The following is a 15,441-nucleotide window of genomic DNA, read 5'->3' on the forward strand; positions in this document are numbered from 1 at the left end:
GTGTCTGCAGGTGCCAACCCGGGCTGTGAAGACTCATCTCCTGGAGGGTTCCTAATGTCATGCTAGAGGGCTGACGGAGATACAGAAGCTCATCGCAAGCTCTGGTTTCTCTTCAAAACGAATACATCTTTTACCTTTTACTGCAGATTTTCGTGGAGAGGAACAGTTGTTAGTAACCTTTTTTGTCTGTTTGTTTTTAGGTCCTGCTTGGGCAGGGCCAAGTAAAAAAGAAAAAAGAAAAAAGAAAAAAACCACAAAAGGTCATCGAATTAGGGTCACTTTAAGGTAAAATCAGAAATTTCGCCTCATCCCCAACTTTCCTTCTTGGAGTCGTCTCAAGGATGCCTTTCTCTCCTCCCTACGTATTTCTTATTTTATATCCTGGCCCTAGTTATTCTACATATGCATTAACCCCTAATGATGTTGGCTGATTCCTCCTGGGAGTATTTACATTTTAAAGGGGATAAAAGAAAACTCTCTTTGCGATGTGTTTCGTCTCTGTTATTATTTAGGGTCTTTATTAATGCTTATGCCTGATGTTGATGATGCAATGCTTCTTGAAGAATCATAGGCAGGAAGGGGTCTGGTCTAACTTCTGTTTTTAGGAAGAGACACTTTGTCCCGTGCTTCCATGATGAAAGCAGGAGTTGGGCTTTTTCAGGGTTCATTGGCCAGGCTGGATCTAGCAACGATCTGGGGAGCTGCCTCACCCTCTTCTGAGGGACTTGAAACATTGAATAGGTTTATTTCTCTTTCACTTTCTGTTAATAATTTGTTTCTTACTGAAAGGGAGGTTGGTCAAGGTAACCCATCACCCAAGATTTATGATACTACTCAGATAGTTCAGATCACATGATGGCAGAAATAATGCTCACTGATTTTTTAAATTTTTTAAATATTTATTGAATTCACACAGCAATAGCTTTTTTTCTCTCCCAAAACCTTATTAAACACTGAGGACCTGAAGTAACTGAAGTGCGTCTGGAAAAACCATTCCACTACTTTCTTCTATATGTTCCAGGTTAGGCCACTGGGAGTAAAGTAAATAAAAGATGAGCAATCCAGTCACTTAAATAGATTTTTTACTGTCTAAACCTGATCATTGCATGGGCTAAGGAGGATAAATATTTCCTCGCAAGGGCCTGCCTCAGTTGATAGTTTCTGCCTACAACACTACAGTGAGAAAAATTCCAAAGCTGCGTTTGGCTCAAAGAGAGAAAGATATCATGATTATTTCATATTCCCCCAAATTAACATTTGCTATTAAACACAGCTAGCATCTTTATCATCCTTTAGAGATTTCCCTGTTAGAAAAAGTGACAAACTATTTGTAGCATTTATTGGTGTTTTTCCTCAGCCTGGTCCTGTTATAAATTAATTTCATCCGCATCCCTAGCTAGACTCTTATACTAAAATTGCACCTGTTTTTCATTCCAAGAATGGAGCAGGATATCTGGTCAAATGATATTCCCCAAACTGTACTGTCTTTCAATAAGAGAGAAATTCCTTGTAGGAGAAAAATCAATGAGAAAAGGCCCTACTGGGTGTTGGAGCCCATGCTGAGCACTTGTTCTCAGTCACCTTTGCTCAGTTTCCTTGGCTTCTTTGACCACTGACAAGTTACATTTCTATATCTATACATAACAGCAATATAAGCAGCTGCTTATAACACAAGTCTGCTGGGATTATGAGTGACAATGACAAAATCAGAGAAGCTGCATACCATTCCATGATAAAAAGGTCAATGCAGCATGGCTGGAAGGTGGAGGAGTTGGGGAAGGGAGTGCTGAGTTAGCAGCTAAGTCCAGCTGGCTGTCCTCATCTACTTTTACAAGGATGCTGCTGTTTTCTTTTAGATTCCTTTTTAATTGAAAGTGTTGCTCATCCCTTTGCTGAAAATATGATATGCACACATTCTGAAACTCTCAATACTTTACTCCTTGTTTGGATTTGTTAAGAAACTGACATCTGTGGGAACTGGGTTACTAGAAGAAAGGGAGGATCAATTAAAGCTGTTTACTTTTATGTTTCCAAGGTGAAAGATTATGAAAGAGTGCAAGGCTTTCTAAAGTATTACACTTATTCCCAGTTAGTGTTTTGAAGTATTATATCCATATGAATAAGTGAATGCATGAATACTGATTCATTTGGATTATTTAATGGAAAGGCTGGAATTGATTGGCACTACATGATGTTACAAATCCTGTTGTTTTAGAGCTGGAAACTATAAGGACTTACTAAATTTGACTTTCTCAATTTGTAGGTGGCAGAGAGACTAAATAGGAGGGCACAATAGTGGTCTAGGAAAGTGATGCAACTGAGAGCCTGATCTGCAGCTTTGGCAGTGGGTATGGCTTGGATTCAGGAAATATTTCTGAGGGAGAAAATCAAAATAATGTGGTAGTCTCATGGGATTATGGAGTGGGGACCATGAAGGGATAGAAGACTTGAGAAAGATGGAGAGTTCAACCTTAATAGGCTTAGCAGCTGATCGGAAGTTGCAGCTGCTTTGGTTGATCCACATCCCCTAACTGTTTTGACCCCAAGCATCTTATGTTCCTACCCTCTTTGCTTTGAAATGCAGGTGTTGGCCTGTTAGGTGCAGGGACAAGATGAGACTTAACTTAACTTCTATCTAATCAATTCACTCCATAGATACTTAGTGAGCACCTACTACATGTATTGCACTGCTCACCACTGAGGATTTAAAGGTAAGACATGGTGCATGCCCTTGAGGAGCGTATAGTATAACAGGGAGAGACAGATGTGTAAACAGACAAGTGTGATAAAGTGTTGTACCTCCAGGTTTTTCAACCTCAGCACTACTGACATTTTGGACTGGATGATTCTTTGTTGTGGAGGGCTGTCTTGTACATTGTAACAGCATCATTAGCATCGCAGCATCGTTAGCAAAATCCCTGGCCTCTACCAGATGCCTGTAGCACTTCATCCCTAGTTGTGGTGACCAAAATTATCTTCAGATATTGCCAAGTGTTTTCCCCATGGCATCAAACAAAATTGCTCCTGGTTGAGAATCACTGATCTATATGGTACTGTGAGAACACAAAGAAGGGAGTGAGTAACATTACCTGAGTGGAGTCAGAGGGGATCCAGTTTGGGCCATACTGGGATGAGTAGGTGATCCTCAGGCGGACTTTGAGAGCTGGGCCTTCCAGCCAGAGGAAACAGTACAAAAGATAGCAGGTCAATCAGTGGTTTGACAAACTGTCAAAAGAGGAGGCCGGAGAGGTAGGCAGCCCAAGAAATGAAAAGCCTTTTATACCATATAAGAGAACTTATATTTTATCTTATTGACAAAAGAAGCTATTGAAACATTGTAAGGAAGGAAAATGGTAAGATTTGCAATTGAGAAGAGTCACTTTATGGACAAGGTGGAAGGTGAATTGAAATGGGAAGAGGATGGGCCTGGCGCGGTGGCTCACGCCTGTAATTCCAGCACTTTGGGAGGCCAAGGTGGGCAGATCACGAGATCAGGAGATCGAGACCATCCTGGCTAACACGGTGAAACCCCATCTCTACTAAAAATAAAAAAATAAAAAAATTAGCCGGGCGTGGTAGCAGGCACCTGTAGTTCCAGCTACTCGGGATGCTGAGGCAGGAGAATGGTGTGAATCTGGGAGGTGGAGCTTGCAGTGAGCTAAGATCACACCACTGCACTCCAGCCTGGGCGACAGAGCGAGACTCTGTCTCAAAAAAAAAAAAAAAAAAAAGAAAAGAAAAAGAAATGGGAAGAGGATGGAGGCAGAGAGACCAGTGAGGAGACTCTTGCAACAGTCCAGGTGAGAGGGAGGATATGAGTTACGTTTACAGGGAAAAGTGATGACTCCCAGGACTCTAATCAAAGTGACTGGTGAATGGGGCTGACATCCAACTGAGGGAATACAAAAAAGGAAACAGATTTTGTGTAAAGGTGGGTGGGCCAAGTTCAGCTTCAGAGGTATTGAGCTAGAAGTGTCTGCAGGTTATCTGTCTAGAAATGTACAGTGGACAATGAAATATTTAGGTTTAAAGTTCAGGAGGGATTATGTTTCTGAAGCCAAGATCCTGACTCTTTCACTAGCTGCTGACTCTGGCTCCAGCATCCTGTGCTGGATTTTCAAAAGAAAAACATGGAAGAGGAAACAGCACATGGCGAAGTGATCCTGGCCAGCGATGGTTTCGATATACTTTATCATCTTTCTGGGTTTTTTCCACTAAAGATACATTTCTGGGCTGGGCGCAGTGGCTCACGCCTGTAATCCCAGCACTTTGGGAGGCTGAAGTGGGTGGATCACGAGGTCAGGAGTTCAAGACCAGCCTGGCCAAGATGGTGAACCCCATCTCTACTAAAAATACAAAAAATTAGCCAGGCATGGTGGCAGGTGCCTGTAATCCCAGCTACTCAGCAGGCTGAGGCAGAGAACTGCTTGAACCCAGGAGGCAAAGGTTGCAGTGAGCCGAGATTGCACCACTGCACTCCAGCCTGGGCAACAGAGCGAGACTCCGTCTCAAAAAAAAAAAAAGATACATTTCCTATTTCTGGTGGCTTGTGTGACCCTGAGGACTGTATTTTGTCCCTTTATAGTTCAGTGTTATGGAAGAGGTATGGCGGGGAGGGAAGGGGTGGAGAGGGAAGAGGGGACAGACAGGGAGAGAGAGAGGGTGATCCTAGCGCAGTGCATCCAGTCTTTTCCCATTAAAGGACAGAAAATGATACTGTTTGAATAGCATACTGGGGCAACTTGAGGGGATTTGAGGGTATCTGTATAGGGCTTGGTGAAAAAATTAATTTTTGATATATAATCATTGTTTTAAAAAGTGTTAGGGATTCAATATCAGTAAACTAAATTTGTATACAAATATTTTAAATTTTTAAAATAGAATCTTGAGTTTGCTTCCACAGATATAAATTTCATGTTTGAAATGACTACATAAAATTCCTAATCAAAATTTTTTAAATGATGAACTCTAAATTTTTGTTACTATGAATGAGAAATGTGTTCACACAATTTTAAAAGCTTTAAAAATCATTTTTACAATCACTTAAAAATTTACAGCAGTTGAACTTAAAGAATCTAATTTCTGTCATCAACAAATGTAATTTTGATATTTCTTGTGATAATGTGAATGGGTTTCAAATCTAATCAACTTTTTCTTTAAACTTATTTCAAAATGGCCAGGCGCGGTGGCTCACACCCGTAACCCTAGCACTTTGGGAGGTCGAGGTGGGTGGATCAGGAGGTCAGGAGATCGAGATCATCCTAGCTAACATGGTGAAACCCTGTCTCTACTAAAAATATAAAAAAATTAGCTGGGCATGGTGGCACGCACCTGTAGTCTCAGCTACTTGGGAGGCTGAGGCAGGAGAATGGCTTGAACCCAGGAGGTGGAGGTTGCAGTGAGCCGCGATTGCGCCACTGCACTCCAGCCTGGGTGACAGAGTGAGAATCCGTCTCAAAAATAAATAAATAAATTTATAAAAATAAATGTATTTCAAATAATAATGAGGCTGGGCACAGTGGTTCATGCCTGTAATCCCAGCACTTTGGGAAGCCAAGGCAAGAGGATCTCTTGAGCCCAGGAGTTTGAGACCAGCCTGGGCAACCTAGAGAGACCTCTGTCTCTATTTATAAATGAATGAATTGAATGAACGAGTGAGTGAAAGAATGGATGTGAATGAATGGGAAAGGGAAAGGAAAGGAAAGAAGCTCTAGGGAGCCCAACACATGCATTATGAAGAGCTGTCGTGGTGCAGCTAGAGTAGCTTCTACACCTGTCTCGCTCTGTGCTGTGCAGTCTCCATGTGCAAGGGACCACAAACTTCACCTGGAAGTGAGGGCGGAAGCAGGTCCTTGACAGCGCTTAGCTTCTTGCAGCAGATCAATGGATGACTTTTACCATGCCACCTGGAGGCCTGTGGCATGCCAGCCGATCCCACTTGGTTGCCTTCTGAAAAGTCTGGGTGTACGCTACTTTGGTCCGGAGGTTCCTGGCATCTCTCTAACCCCCAACCCTAAAGCTATCCCTATGGGCTAAGAAAATTAGTATTAGACTGCACACCTGTCATCTATTTGAGGCAACAGAGGTGGGAAACTCCTCTACAGCATGCATCAGAATCACTTGGAGGGCCTGTTAAGGCATAGATTGCTGGACTCATCCCCCGACCCCTATTTTCTGATTCAGCAGGTCGAGTGAGGCCTGATAATGTGCATTTCTAGCCAGTTCCCAGGTGATGCTGTTGGTCTGGAACCACACTTTGAGAGCCAGTATGATACAAGTTAAACAAAAGTGTTTTCTAAATACTCCATTTACAGCAGCCCCATTCTCACTGTCTTATCCTGGTTTATTTTTTGCAAGATCCTTTATCATTATTTGACATCATATATTATATATTTTATCTGCTTAATGCTTGTCTTTGGTAATGTCCAGAAAAACAGAAACTTTGTTTTGCTTACTGTTATAGTCCCATCTCTTAGGACAGTACTTGGCACACAGTAGGAGCTAAAAGATATTTGTTGCTTGAATGAACATGCCGTTTGGAAGGCATTAGCCAAAGCTGAAACTGTGAGAATGAGAAAGCTGACCTAGGAAGAGGGGGATGGATAAAAAGGTGAAGAGCCAGCTGGGCGTGGTGGCTCATGCCTGTAATCCCAGCACTTTGGGAGGCTGAGGCGGGCGGATCACCTGAGGTCAGGAGTTCGAGACCAGCCTGGCCAACATGGTGAAACCCCGTCTCTACTAAAAATACAAAAATTAGCTGGGTGTGGTGGCAGGCTCCTGTAATCTCAGCTACTCAGGAGGCTGAGGCAAGAGAATCACTTGAACCCGGGAGGCAGAGGTTGCAGTGAGCCAAGATTGAGCCATTGCACTCCAGCCTGGGGGACAAGAGCGAGACTTGCTCTCAAAAAAAAAAGAAAAAAAGCAAAGAGCCAAGGACAGACCCTGTATTAAATGTACATGGGCATTAACAGAATAACAAAAGGAGGAAATAGAGCAGAATGCTAGGAGTCAAGCCCAGTGCAACAGCATCATAGAAACCCACAGAGGAGAGATTTTCAGAAAGGGAGGAGACACCAACAGTAAACAGCAGAGATCACGTAAGATGAAAAGTCTGTAAAACTTGTCAATTAGTAAGTTTGCCATTGATAATTTTGGTAAAAGAAAGATGTCCTGAGTAGCAGGCTAATTGCTATGGACTGAGTAGTGAATGGTGGATGAAAAGGTGGGAAAAAAACTGAGTGTAGACTGTTTAAGGATTTGGCCACAAAGGAAAGGCTGGAGTGGGAGGTAGTTCAAGAGAAAGTGTTTATTTCTCCTTCCTGCTGTCTTTCTTCTCTGTGTTATGTGTATGTAAGATCAGAGCATAATTTTATGCTATAGGAAAGTAGTCTGTGAAGAGGTATTGAATATGTGTAACAGTAACCAAAGGGTAAGGTCATGATCCTAGAGGAGCTTGGGGGGATAAAATCAAAAGTAGGATGGATGACCCCCTCACCAACCGAGACCAGAAGGAAAGACATGATGGGGACTAGTTTAGAGGACTGGGCTCAAAGTTGAGGGGGTTCATGTATGAGAGCCTCCATTTGCTCTGGGTGGTTTGGAGCAAAGTCATCTAGTGGTAGAGCAGGAGTAGGGTAAGAAATGTAAGAGCAATGGCAAAGGCCTGGAGTCATTGCTGCAGGAAATAGACTTGAACAGTGGCATCCGATAGGCACAAATTGGGTCTCTTTCTCTATCTCGGCTGTTTTCTAGGGCAGGAATGCTGGAAGGAGCAGCTGCAAATTAAAATACACTCCCACAGGCAAGCAAGGATGGGAGGCAGTCAAGTGGAGGGCGTTAATTACCAGAAGAACAGTGGGCTCCAGTCATCATAATAGGCAGCAGGGTGGAAAACACATTGGTCTGACCCAGGAGCTCTCTGGATGTGGTTAAGTAATTTTAGGAACCCAAGGAATGAACTCAACAAATAACCCATTAAGTCTTTTTGGTTTGTATAACAAAAACAAATCCAGGCCGGGCAGTGACTCACTCCTATAATCCCAGTGTTTTGGGAGGCCAAGGTGGGAGCATTCTTCAGTCCAGGAGTTTGAGACTAGCATCGGCAACATAGCAAGACCCCTACCTCCCCCTCCAAAAAAAAGTAAAAAAAAAAAAAAAGAAAAAGAAAAAGTAGCTAAGTATGGTGGAGCATGCATGACTAGCTACTCAAGAGGCTGAGAAGGGAGGACTGCTTGAGCCCAGGTGTTCAGGTCTTCAGCGAGCCATGATCATGCCACTGCATTTCGGCCTGGGCAACAGAGTGGGATCCTGTCTCTAAAAAAAAAAAAAACAAAAAACAACCCACAAAACACAGCTTTATGTCTGGGGAACAGAGACCTCTCCTGAGCAAGAGAGATACAACTTGTCACCCCATTACCGGCACTAAATCAGATCCCAGATCCACAGCCTTTTGAGCATAGCCCAAATATTCTTGTATAAGGACGCTGTGGAAATATTGTACCTAAGACTGCAAGCAAACTTTCATCTCCCCAAAGAGTTTGTGCTCCCTTATAGATAATTGCTCTGGAGAAAAGGAAATACCCAAACTTTTTAGTGACTATCATATGCAAATCCCAAACTAACACTAATTTCTGGGACCCAAAATGTTGCTGTTTGCCATCAACATTTTGAGCTTATAGAGGTTGGGTGACAAATGAACTGAATTCTGGCCCAGGTTCACCTTTGGGCAGGGCTAGTGGGACTGTGAATTCATCCTGTGGTCAAGGGCCCTAGTTGCCAAGTGAATAGCTGGAATAGGTAATCTTAGCAACTGGCAGAATTCCTACATTGGTACACTCACCCATGGTGTAAGGGCTATTCCGGTAGGAAGTACCAAGTGGGGTGCCAAAACAGTACATCAAAAGCAATGCTACATTCCTGGAGAATTGCAGAGATAAGTGTTACCATCAAAGGAGAGAAAGATGCTACTGTGATGGTTCCCACCTCATTCCCATTCACTTCACAGATCAGCTGCCACAGATGACTGATAGGTCTTGGTTACTGCAAATCCAGTCAAGTGGGGACTCTAAGGGTAGCTACTGTTCCCCAGTGGAGTCTTTCTAATGAAGCAACTTCACACAGCCTCTGACACTTGCTTTGCAGTTATCGATCTGGGATTTAGCTCCAGAATATCTTTGTAAAAACCCTCTCTTTTTTATATTATGCACCAATAACTTTTTGATTCAATAATATATTTTATGTTTTATTGCCTATCATTCTTTCATATATTCTGGTTCACATCTGTATATCAGTTTCTTCACTTTAAAATGGGCATCATAATTGTACCTTTTTCAGAGTTATTGGGAAGAAAATGAGATAATCTGTGTAGAGCGCACATAGTATGTACTCAATGTCTGTTGCCTCATCTGTTGGGGATGAGAATCTGGGAAATCTTTTTTGTAATTCGTTGTTCATTTTGCAGGAGTCATTTTCAAGTCATTCAATGAGATGGTAAACTTTCTGAATACTTTCATGTCTGAGAACGTTTTTATTTTCCTCTCACTTTACTGTTGGTTAGCCTAAAGGATTCCAGAGTTAGCCCTGAAGATATTGCCACTGAGAAATTCAAGGGCAAACTAATTTCCATTATTTTATAGATAACATTTCCATATAAAAATCTCTTGATTCTCTTTCTCCTAGAGTTTACCTACAACAGGATATTTTTTCATTAATTATTTTAAGAACTCTAAGTGGGCCCTTTTAATAAGATGTGTTTTGGTGCAAATTTGGGACATTTTCTTCTTTTTAACTCCCCAACCCTCACCATCATTCTTGCTGGTTTTTGTTTATACAGCTTTTGTCATTCAAATGTTGCAATGTTTAGATCCATTTTCTTTTCCTTTTTGTTAATTTGCTATTCAGCCCTGCCCATTCTGCTATAAACCAGCCCATAAGTCTTATTTTCAATCTTTCAGGGATTCCTCAATATTCCTGGCTCATTGATGGAACATTTTGTTCCCTTGGCTTAAAAAAAAAAAAAAAAAAAAAAGCATTATGTCATCAGTTTTAAGAAAGAAGGCCGCGGCCGGGCGCCCGGAGCCGCGCAGCCACACTGCCCGGGAATCGGCCCTCGCCCCCGGCCCTGGCGCTCGGAGCTCGGAGCTCGGAGCTCAGCGCTCAGCGGCTGCCAGGGCTTTTAATGTCTGCTCGGCAGAGCGGGGCCTAGGGCTGGAAAGAGGCTGCCTCGCAGGAAGGCGCTCTAGCGAGCCTCCTCCTGGGCCCGTCACGCCCGCCGTGGGGCGCTGCAGGTAGGGGCGCGCTCCAGGTGGGGGCGCGCTTCCCCGGGGTGGCGTGTTGACTTGAGACGCCGGCCCGCTCGCTGGCTGCTGGCTCGCCAGCCGCTTGTCCCTGCCATGAATTGAGACCGCGGGCCAGCCCCGCGCCTACTCCACCCGCGCCTTTCTCGAGCCTCCTCCACCCGCCGCGGGAGGCCAGGCTTCTGAGGCGGGGGCGGGGGCGGCGGGGGCAGGCAGCTCCCGGCCTGGTGCCTGCACCATGAACTACCAGCAGCAGCTGGCCAACTTGGCTGCCATCCCGGCCGAGATCCAGCACTTCGAGTTGGTCCACCCCAACGTCTACTCCCATCTACCAGCTGCTGGAGCGCGTGGAGGAGCCGGTGCTTCAGAACCAGATCCGGGAGCACGTCATTGCCATCGAAGATGTCTTTGTGAACAGCTAGGAATGGACGCTGAGTCGATCTGTCCCGGAGCTCAAAGTGGTGGCAGGTTCAAGAAAGAGATTGTTGTTGATGGACAGAGCTATCTGCTGCTGATTAAATATGAAGGGGACCCCCTGGAGGCGCAGTTTGCCATGTCGGTGGATGCAGTTATATTTGTTTTCAGCTTGGAGGATGAAATAAGTTTCCAGACTGTTTACTACAGTGGAATGGCCAACTATCGGAACATGAGCGAGATTCCTCTGGTTCTGGTGGGAACCCAGGATGCCATAAGTTCCACTAACCTGAGGGTCATTGATGATGCCAGGGTAAGGAAGTGCTCCAACGACCTGAAGCGGTGCACGTACTATGAGACGTGTGCTATGTATGGGCTGAACGTGGAAAGGGACTTCCAGGAGGTTGCCCAGAAGATTGTTGCCACAAGGAAGAAGCAGCAGCTGCCCATAGGACCCTGCAAGTTGCTGCCCAGTTCTCCAAGCCATTCCACCGTCTGTTCTGCACAGGTGTCCGCCATGCACATCAACTAGACAAGTAATGGAGGTAGGAGTTTAAGCAACTATTCCTCCTCTGTTCCATCGACTCCCAGCACCAGCCAGAAGGAACTTCAGATGGATGTTCCTCCCACTGCCAACACGCCCACACCCATTCACAAGCAGTTCACAAGCAGTTCAAGTGGGGTCAAACCTGTTCACCTCTCAGAAAGGGAGCAACCCAAAGAGTAGAAAGGCCTAGAGAGTCATGCATACGGCATTGGGAGCAGCCAAGCCATGCCAATTATACAGGGCATGCTGTTGAAGCAGAGTGGCAAATCGTTGAATAAAGAGTGGTAAAAGAAATATGTCACCCTGTGTGACAATGGTGTGCGGACCTATGATCCAAGTTTACATGATTACATGCAGAATGTCCATGGTAAGGAGACTGACCTTCTGAGAACCACTATGAAAGTCCCAGGGAAGAGGCTACCCCAAGCCACGTCGGCCTGCGTGCCCATCTCCAGGACTAAAACCAATGGCCTATCCAAGCACATGAGGAGTTTACACATCTCACCCAATTCAGGAAATGTCACTAGTGCATCTGGGTCTCAGTTGGCAGGTGGCATCAGCCTGGTCTCCTTCAACAGCCAACCAGATGGCATGCACCAGCACTCCTACTCAGTCTCCAGAGCCAACCAGTGGAGTCAGGCTACAGTCATTGCAAACTCGGCCATTAGCAGTGACAAGGGGTGGGTGACTCTGTATGCTCCAGTCGCAGTAACTCCAGCACCACCAGCCCACCTCCCCTCACACCAACAGAAAGAAGCACTATAGGCAGAAAGCCACCAGCAACTTCAAAGCTGATGGCCTGTCTGACACTGCTGAAGAACAAGAAAACTTTATCATTGTGTCCCTCACTGGCCAAACGTGGCACTTTGAAGCCACGACGAATGAGGAGCAGGACACCTGGGTCCAAGCCATCGAGAGCCAGATCCTGGCCATCCTGGCCAGCCTGCAGTCGTGCAAGAGCAGCAAGAACAAGTCCCAGCTGATGAACCAGAGTGAGGCCATGGCCCTGCAGTCAATCTGACACATGCACGGAACTCCCACTGTGTGAACTGCGAGACCCAGAATCCTAACTGGGCCAGTTTGAACTTGGGAGTGCTCACGTGCATCAAGTGCTTAGGAATCCATTGGAATCTTGGCACCCACCTTTCCCGAGTCTGATCTCTGGACCTGGATGACTGGCCAGTTGAGCTTATCAAGATGATGTCATCCATTGGGAACGAGATATTCAACAGCGTCTGGGAAGAGAGCAGCCAGGGGCGGATGAAACCCTTAGTAGACTCCACAAGGAAAGAGAAGGAACAATGGATCCATGCCAACTACGAGCAGAAGCTCTTCCTGGCCCCGCTACCCTGCACGGAGCTGTCCCTGGGCCAGCACCCGCTTCGGGCCACCGCAGACGAAGACCGGCAGATGGCCATCCTGCTGCTGGTGCACAGCTCCTGGGACAAGGTGAAAGAAACCTTTGGGGAGGGAGACAGAGATGGCCGCACTGCACTGCATCTGGCCTGCCACAAGGGAAGTGTGGTCCTGGTGCAGCTCCTGATCTGGTACCGGGTGGACGTCATGGCCCAAGATGCCCATGGGAACACAGTGCTGGCCTACACCTGGCAGGCCTCGAGGCAGGAATGCATCAATGTGCCCTGGAGTATGGCTGCCCAACGAGCACTGAGTGCTCATGGCCACCCCTAACCTGTCCAGGAGAAACAATAACCAGAAAAGCAGCAGCAGGAGGGTGCCCACCATCATCTGAGGAACAGCCGTGCCTGCCTGCCCGCCAGCCACACCTGGGACGCGGCAGCCTCGCAGCATACTCACTTGGAAGTCGCAGCACGTGAGTCCCATCACATCCCCTCACTCTTCCTGGTGGTCGCCTCCCTCCCACCCACCCACTCCCACCCCACACAAAATCACAAAACCTGGACATCCTCAAGGGGTGAAGAGGCAGCTGGGAGACTGTAGAAGCAGTTCCTTTGCTCAAATTTCCCTAAACCACAAGCAGGAGAGAGCGACAGGCCTCGGCTCTTTGATGATAGCACACGGCGCAGGACCCTTGTTCTGGTGGCACAAGGGGCGGGGATGTGAGGGGGAGGGGCAACTTTCCTTAACTGGCAGTTAAGCACATCAGTACTACCAAGCGGAACACTTGGATTCCATCCCTTCTCTGAGGAGCTTGATGGCATAAATCAGAAGCAAGCACAGAGTTTGTCAGGTTTGAAGCCCTTATGATGGTATGTGTCAAGTCAGTTGTAGCTAATCTGTCCAGGGAGAATACTGGCTTCATTACACTTGTACAGTTGAGTTCTTCCAGCATTACTGCTGTTTAATAGAAGAGGATTAGTCATCACCAAGAAGACAGCAGATTAGCCAAGGAGGTAGTTATGCGGCATGCTCCGGTGATCGCCACAATGTGATTGCAGTACTCTTAGAAGCATCATATCATCCCAGATATGTTCTTTCAAGCCCTTGGAGCCCTCCTTTCTAAATTCACTGTCATAATTTAGTATCTGTTTAATTTTTCAGTCCAAAGAGAGGAAATCAGTTGCTGAGTAACTTTCTTTTTGACTGCGGTCTCCTTGGTGCAAAAACAAAATGGGAAAAATAAATAAGAATAACTCAGAAATTCAAAAGGAAATCACAAATTCAGCTAATAATAGCATTTTGAGTATATTTTGTAAACCAAATAAACACACAAAAGGCTATTTTTTCCAACCATAAGAGACATTGTCTGTCCTTTTGCCAAGGTGGATGTGTTAGTCTCAGGCCCTCCTGGGCCACACTGCCAAACTCACACGGACTTCTGCATTTTATGTATTTAGATAAGATGTGTGAAAATATATTTGAATAAAAGAAGTTCATAAATATGCATTGATTTTTGTACAGACAAAAGGCACCTTTCTTAATTTATAAATTGAACTGGATGTGAACTAATAATGTGCAACTAGTTGAGATAAGAGGGTTACAAATCATTGTACATGGAAAATATTCCCAGCAGTAAACACTTCCATTAATGTGATCTACAGCTTTTAAAAAGGAGCATCTCAGAATAAGATGGTGGTACAATTTGCTTGTTAAAATTGAGAAAAAATAGACACATTGGAATATATTAGAAAGGGAAAAGAAGGAATGTGATTTCTTCTGATTGAAAGCATGATTTAGATCAGATACAGTTTTTGCTAACCAAGACCAAGGGGCTCTGGCAAGACAGGGTGGTTTTCCGAATGCCAGACCGAGGTGCCTTACGAAGGCAGCTGCCGATGGTTCTGTGGCACAGACTGGCTCCTGAGAACCCAGACGACCTTGACCCTGCACCCCCGCCCTCCATGCTAGTACCTCGTCTGATTCCCATCGCCACAGTATCCAGCTGCTTGAGACATCAGCTGCCTTCAGTGGTGGTAGTCAAACATAGTCAGCCAAACCATGGCATCCCTTAGGTTAAAAGAAAACGGGGCAGCTTTGCCCAGAGCCTGTTGGCACTGTGGGCGGGGGAGAGGGTTGGGGGAGAGAGAAGGGTTGTCACGATGGAAGATGAGGACACTAGTCTCATGTAGCACAGAAACACGAAGTCACATGCGCTGGCAGCCTCCGGGGTGCTCCTTGCTGTCATATATTAAACCTTACATTTTATAAGAAAAAAAAAAGAAGGAAGATAAGGTCATTGTGTGTGCTTAAGCCTCTTTGTTGATTCAAATTCTTTGGTTATTTTGGTTTGTCTTGTTTCTTTAATTAGACTGTACATTTTAAGGTACAAGTCTTTATATTATACAATGCCCCTCCCTATTCTATATCTCTTAAACTACTGTTTTCTGGTTTTCAAGGACTTTATAAATCTGGCTCATTCTACCAAACCAACTATACATCCAAATAAATCTCTAGTGGCACCTAGAATGTTGTCCGCTCATTTAAAAAGGTCTCCTAGCCCCACCCATTCCTTCATCAGGGAGCCAGAGTTGCCTTTAGCTCTGCAGGGATTCTCAGCCAAGAATCAGAATTTTCTGTCTGTGATTTTCCTCAAATAAACCCAGACCTATTGAATGAGAATCTCTGCTTATCAGACCTGTGCATCCTTTTCGCCTCTTACATAGCCCCACAGGTGATTCTGAGGCCCACGCGGCCCGCTTCCCCTCCCTGCGTCAGGCCCGGCCCTAGCTCTGGAGGTGGTTGGATTGGTTCAAGGGCTGCAGCCCC

General features: G+C 45.3%; 2 pseudogenes; both read left to right on the forward strand.

Annotated features, from left to right (window-relative positions):
- On the forward strand, positions 97–178 carry RNU5F-2P (RNA, U5F small nuclear 2, pseudogene; annotated as a pseudogene).
- LOC126860 (ArfGAP with GTPase domain, ankyrin repeat and PH domain 1 pseudogene) lies at positions 10,334–11,503 on the forward strand (annotated as a pseudogene).

Source organism: Homo sapiens, chromosome 1 (genome assembly GCF_000001405.40).
Source record: "Homo sapiens chromosome 1, GRCh38.p14 Primary Assembly".
Classification (NCBI taxonomy): domain Eukaryota; kingdom Metazoa; phylum Chordata; class Mammalia; order Primates; family Hominidae; genus Homo; species Homo sapiens.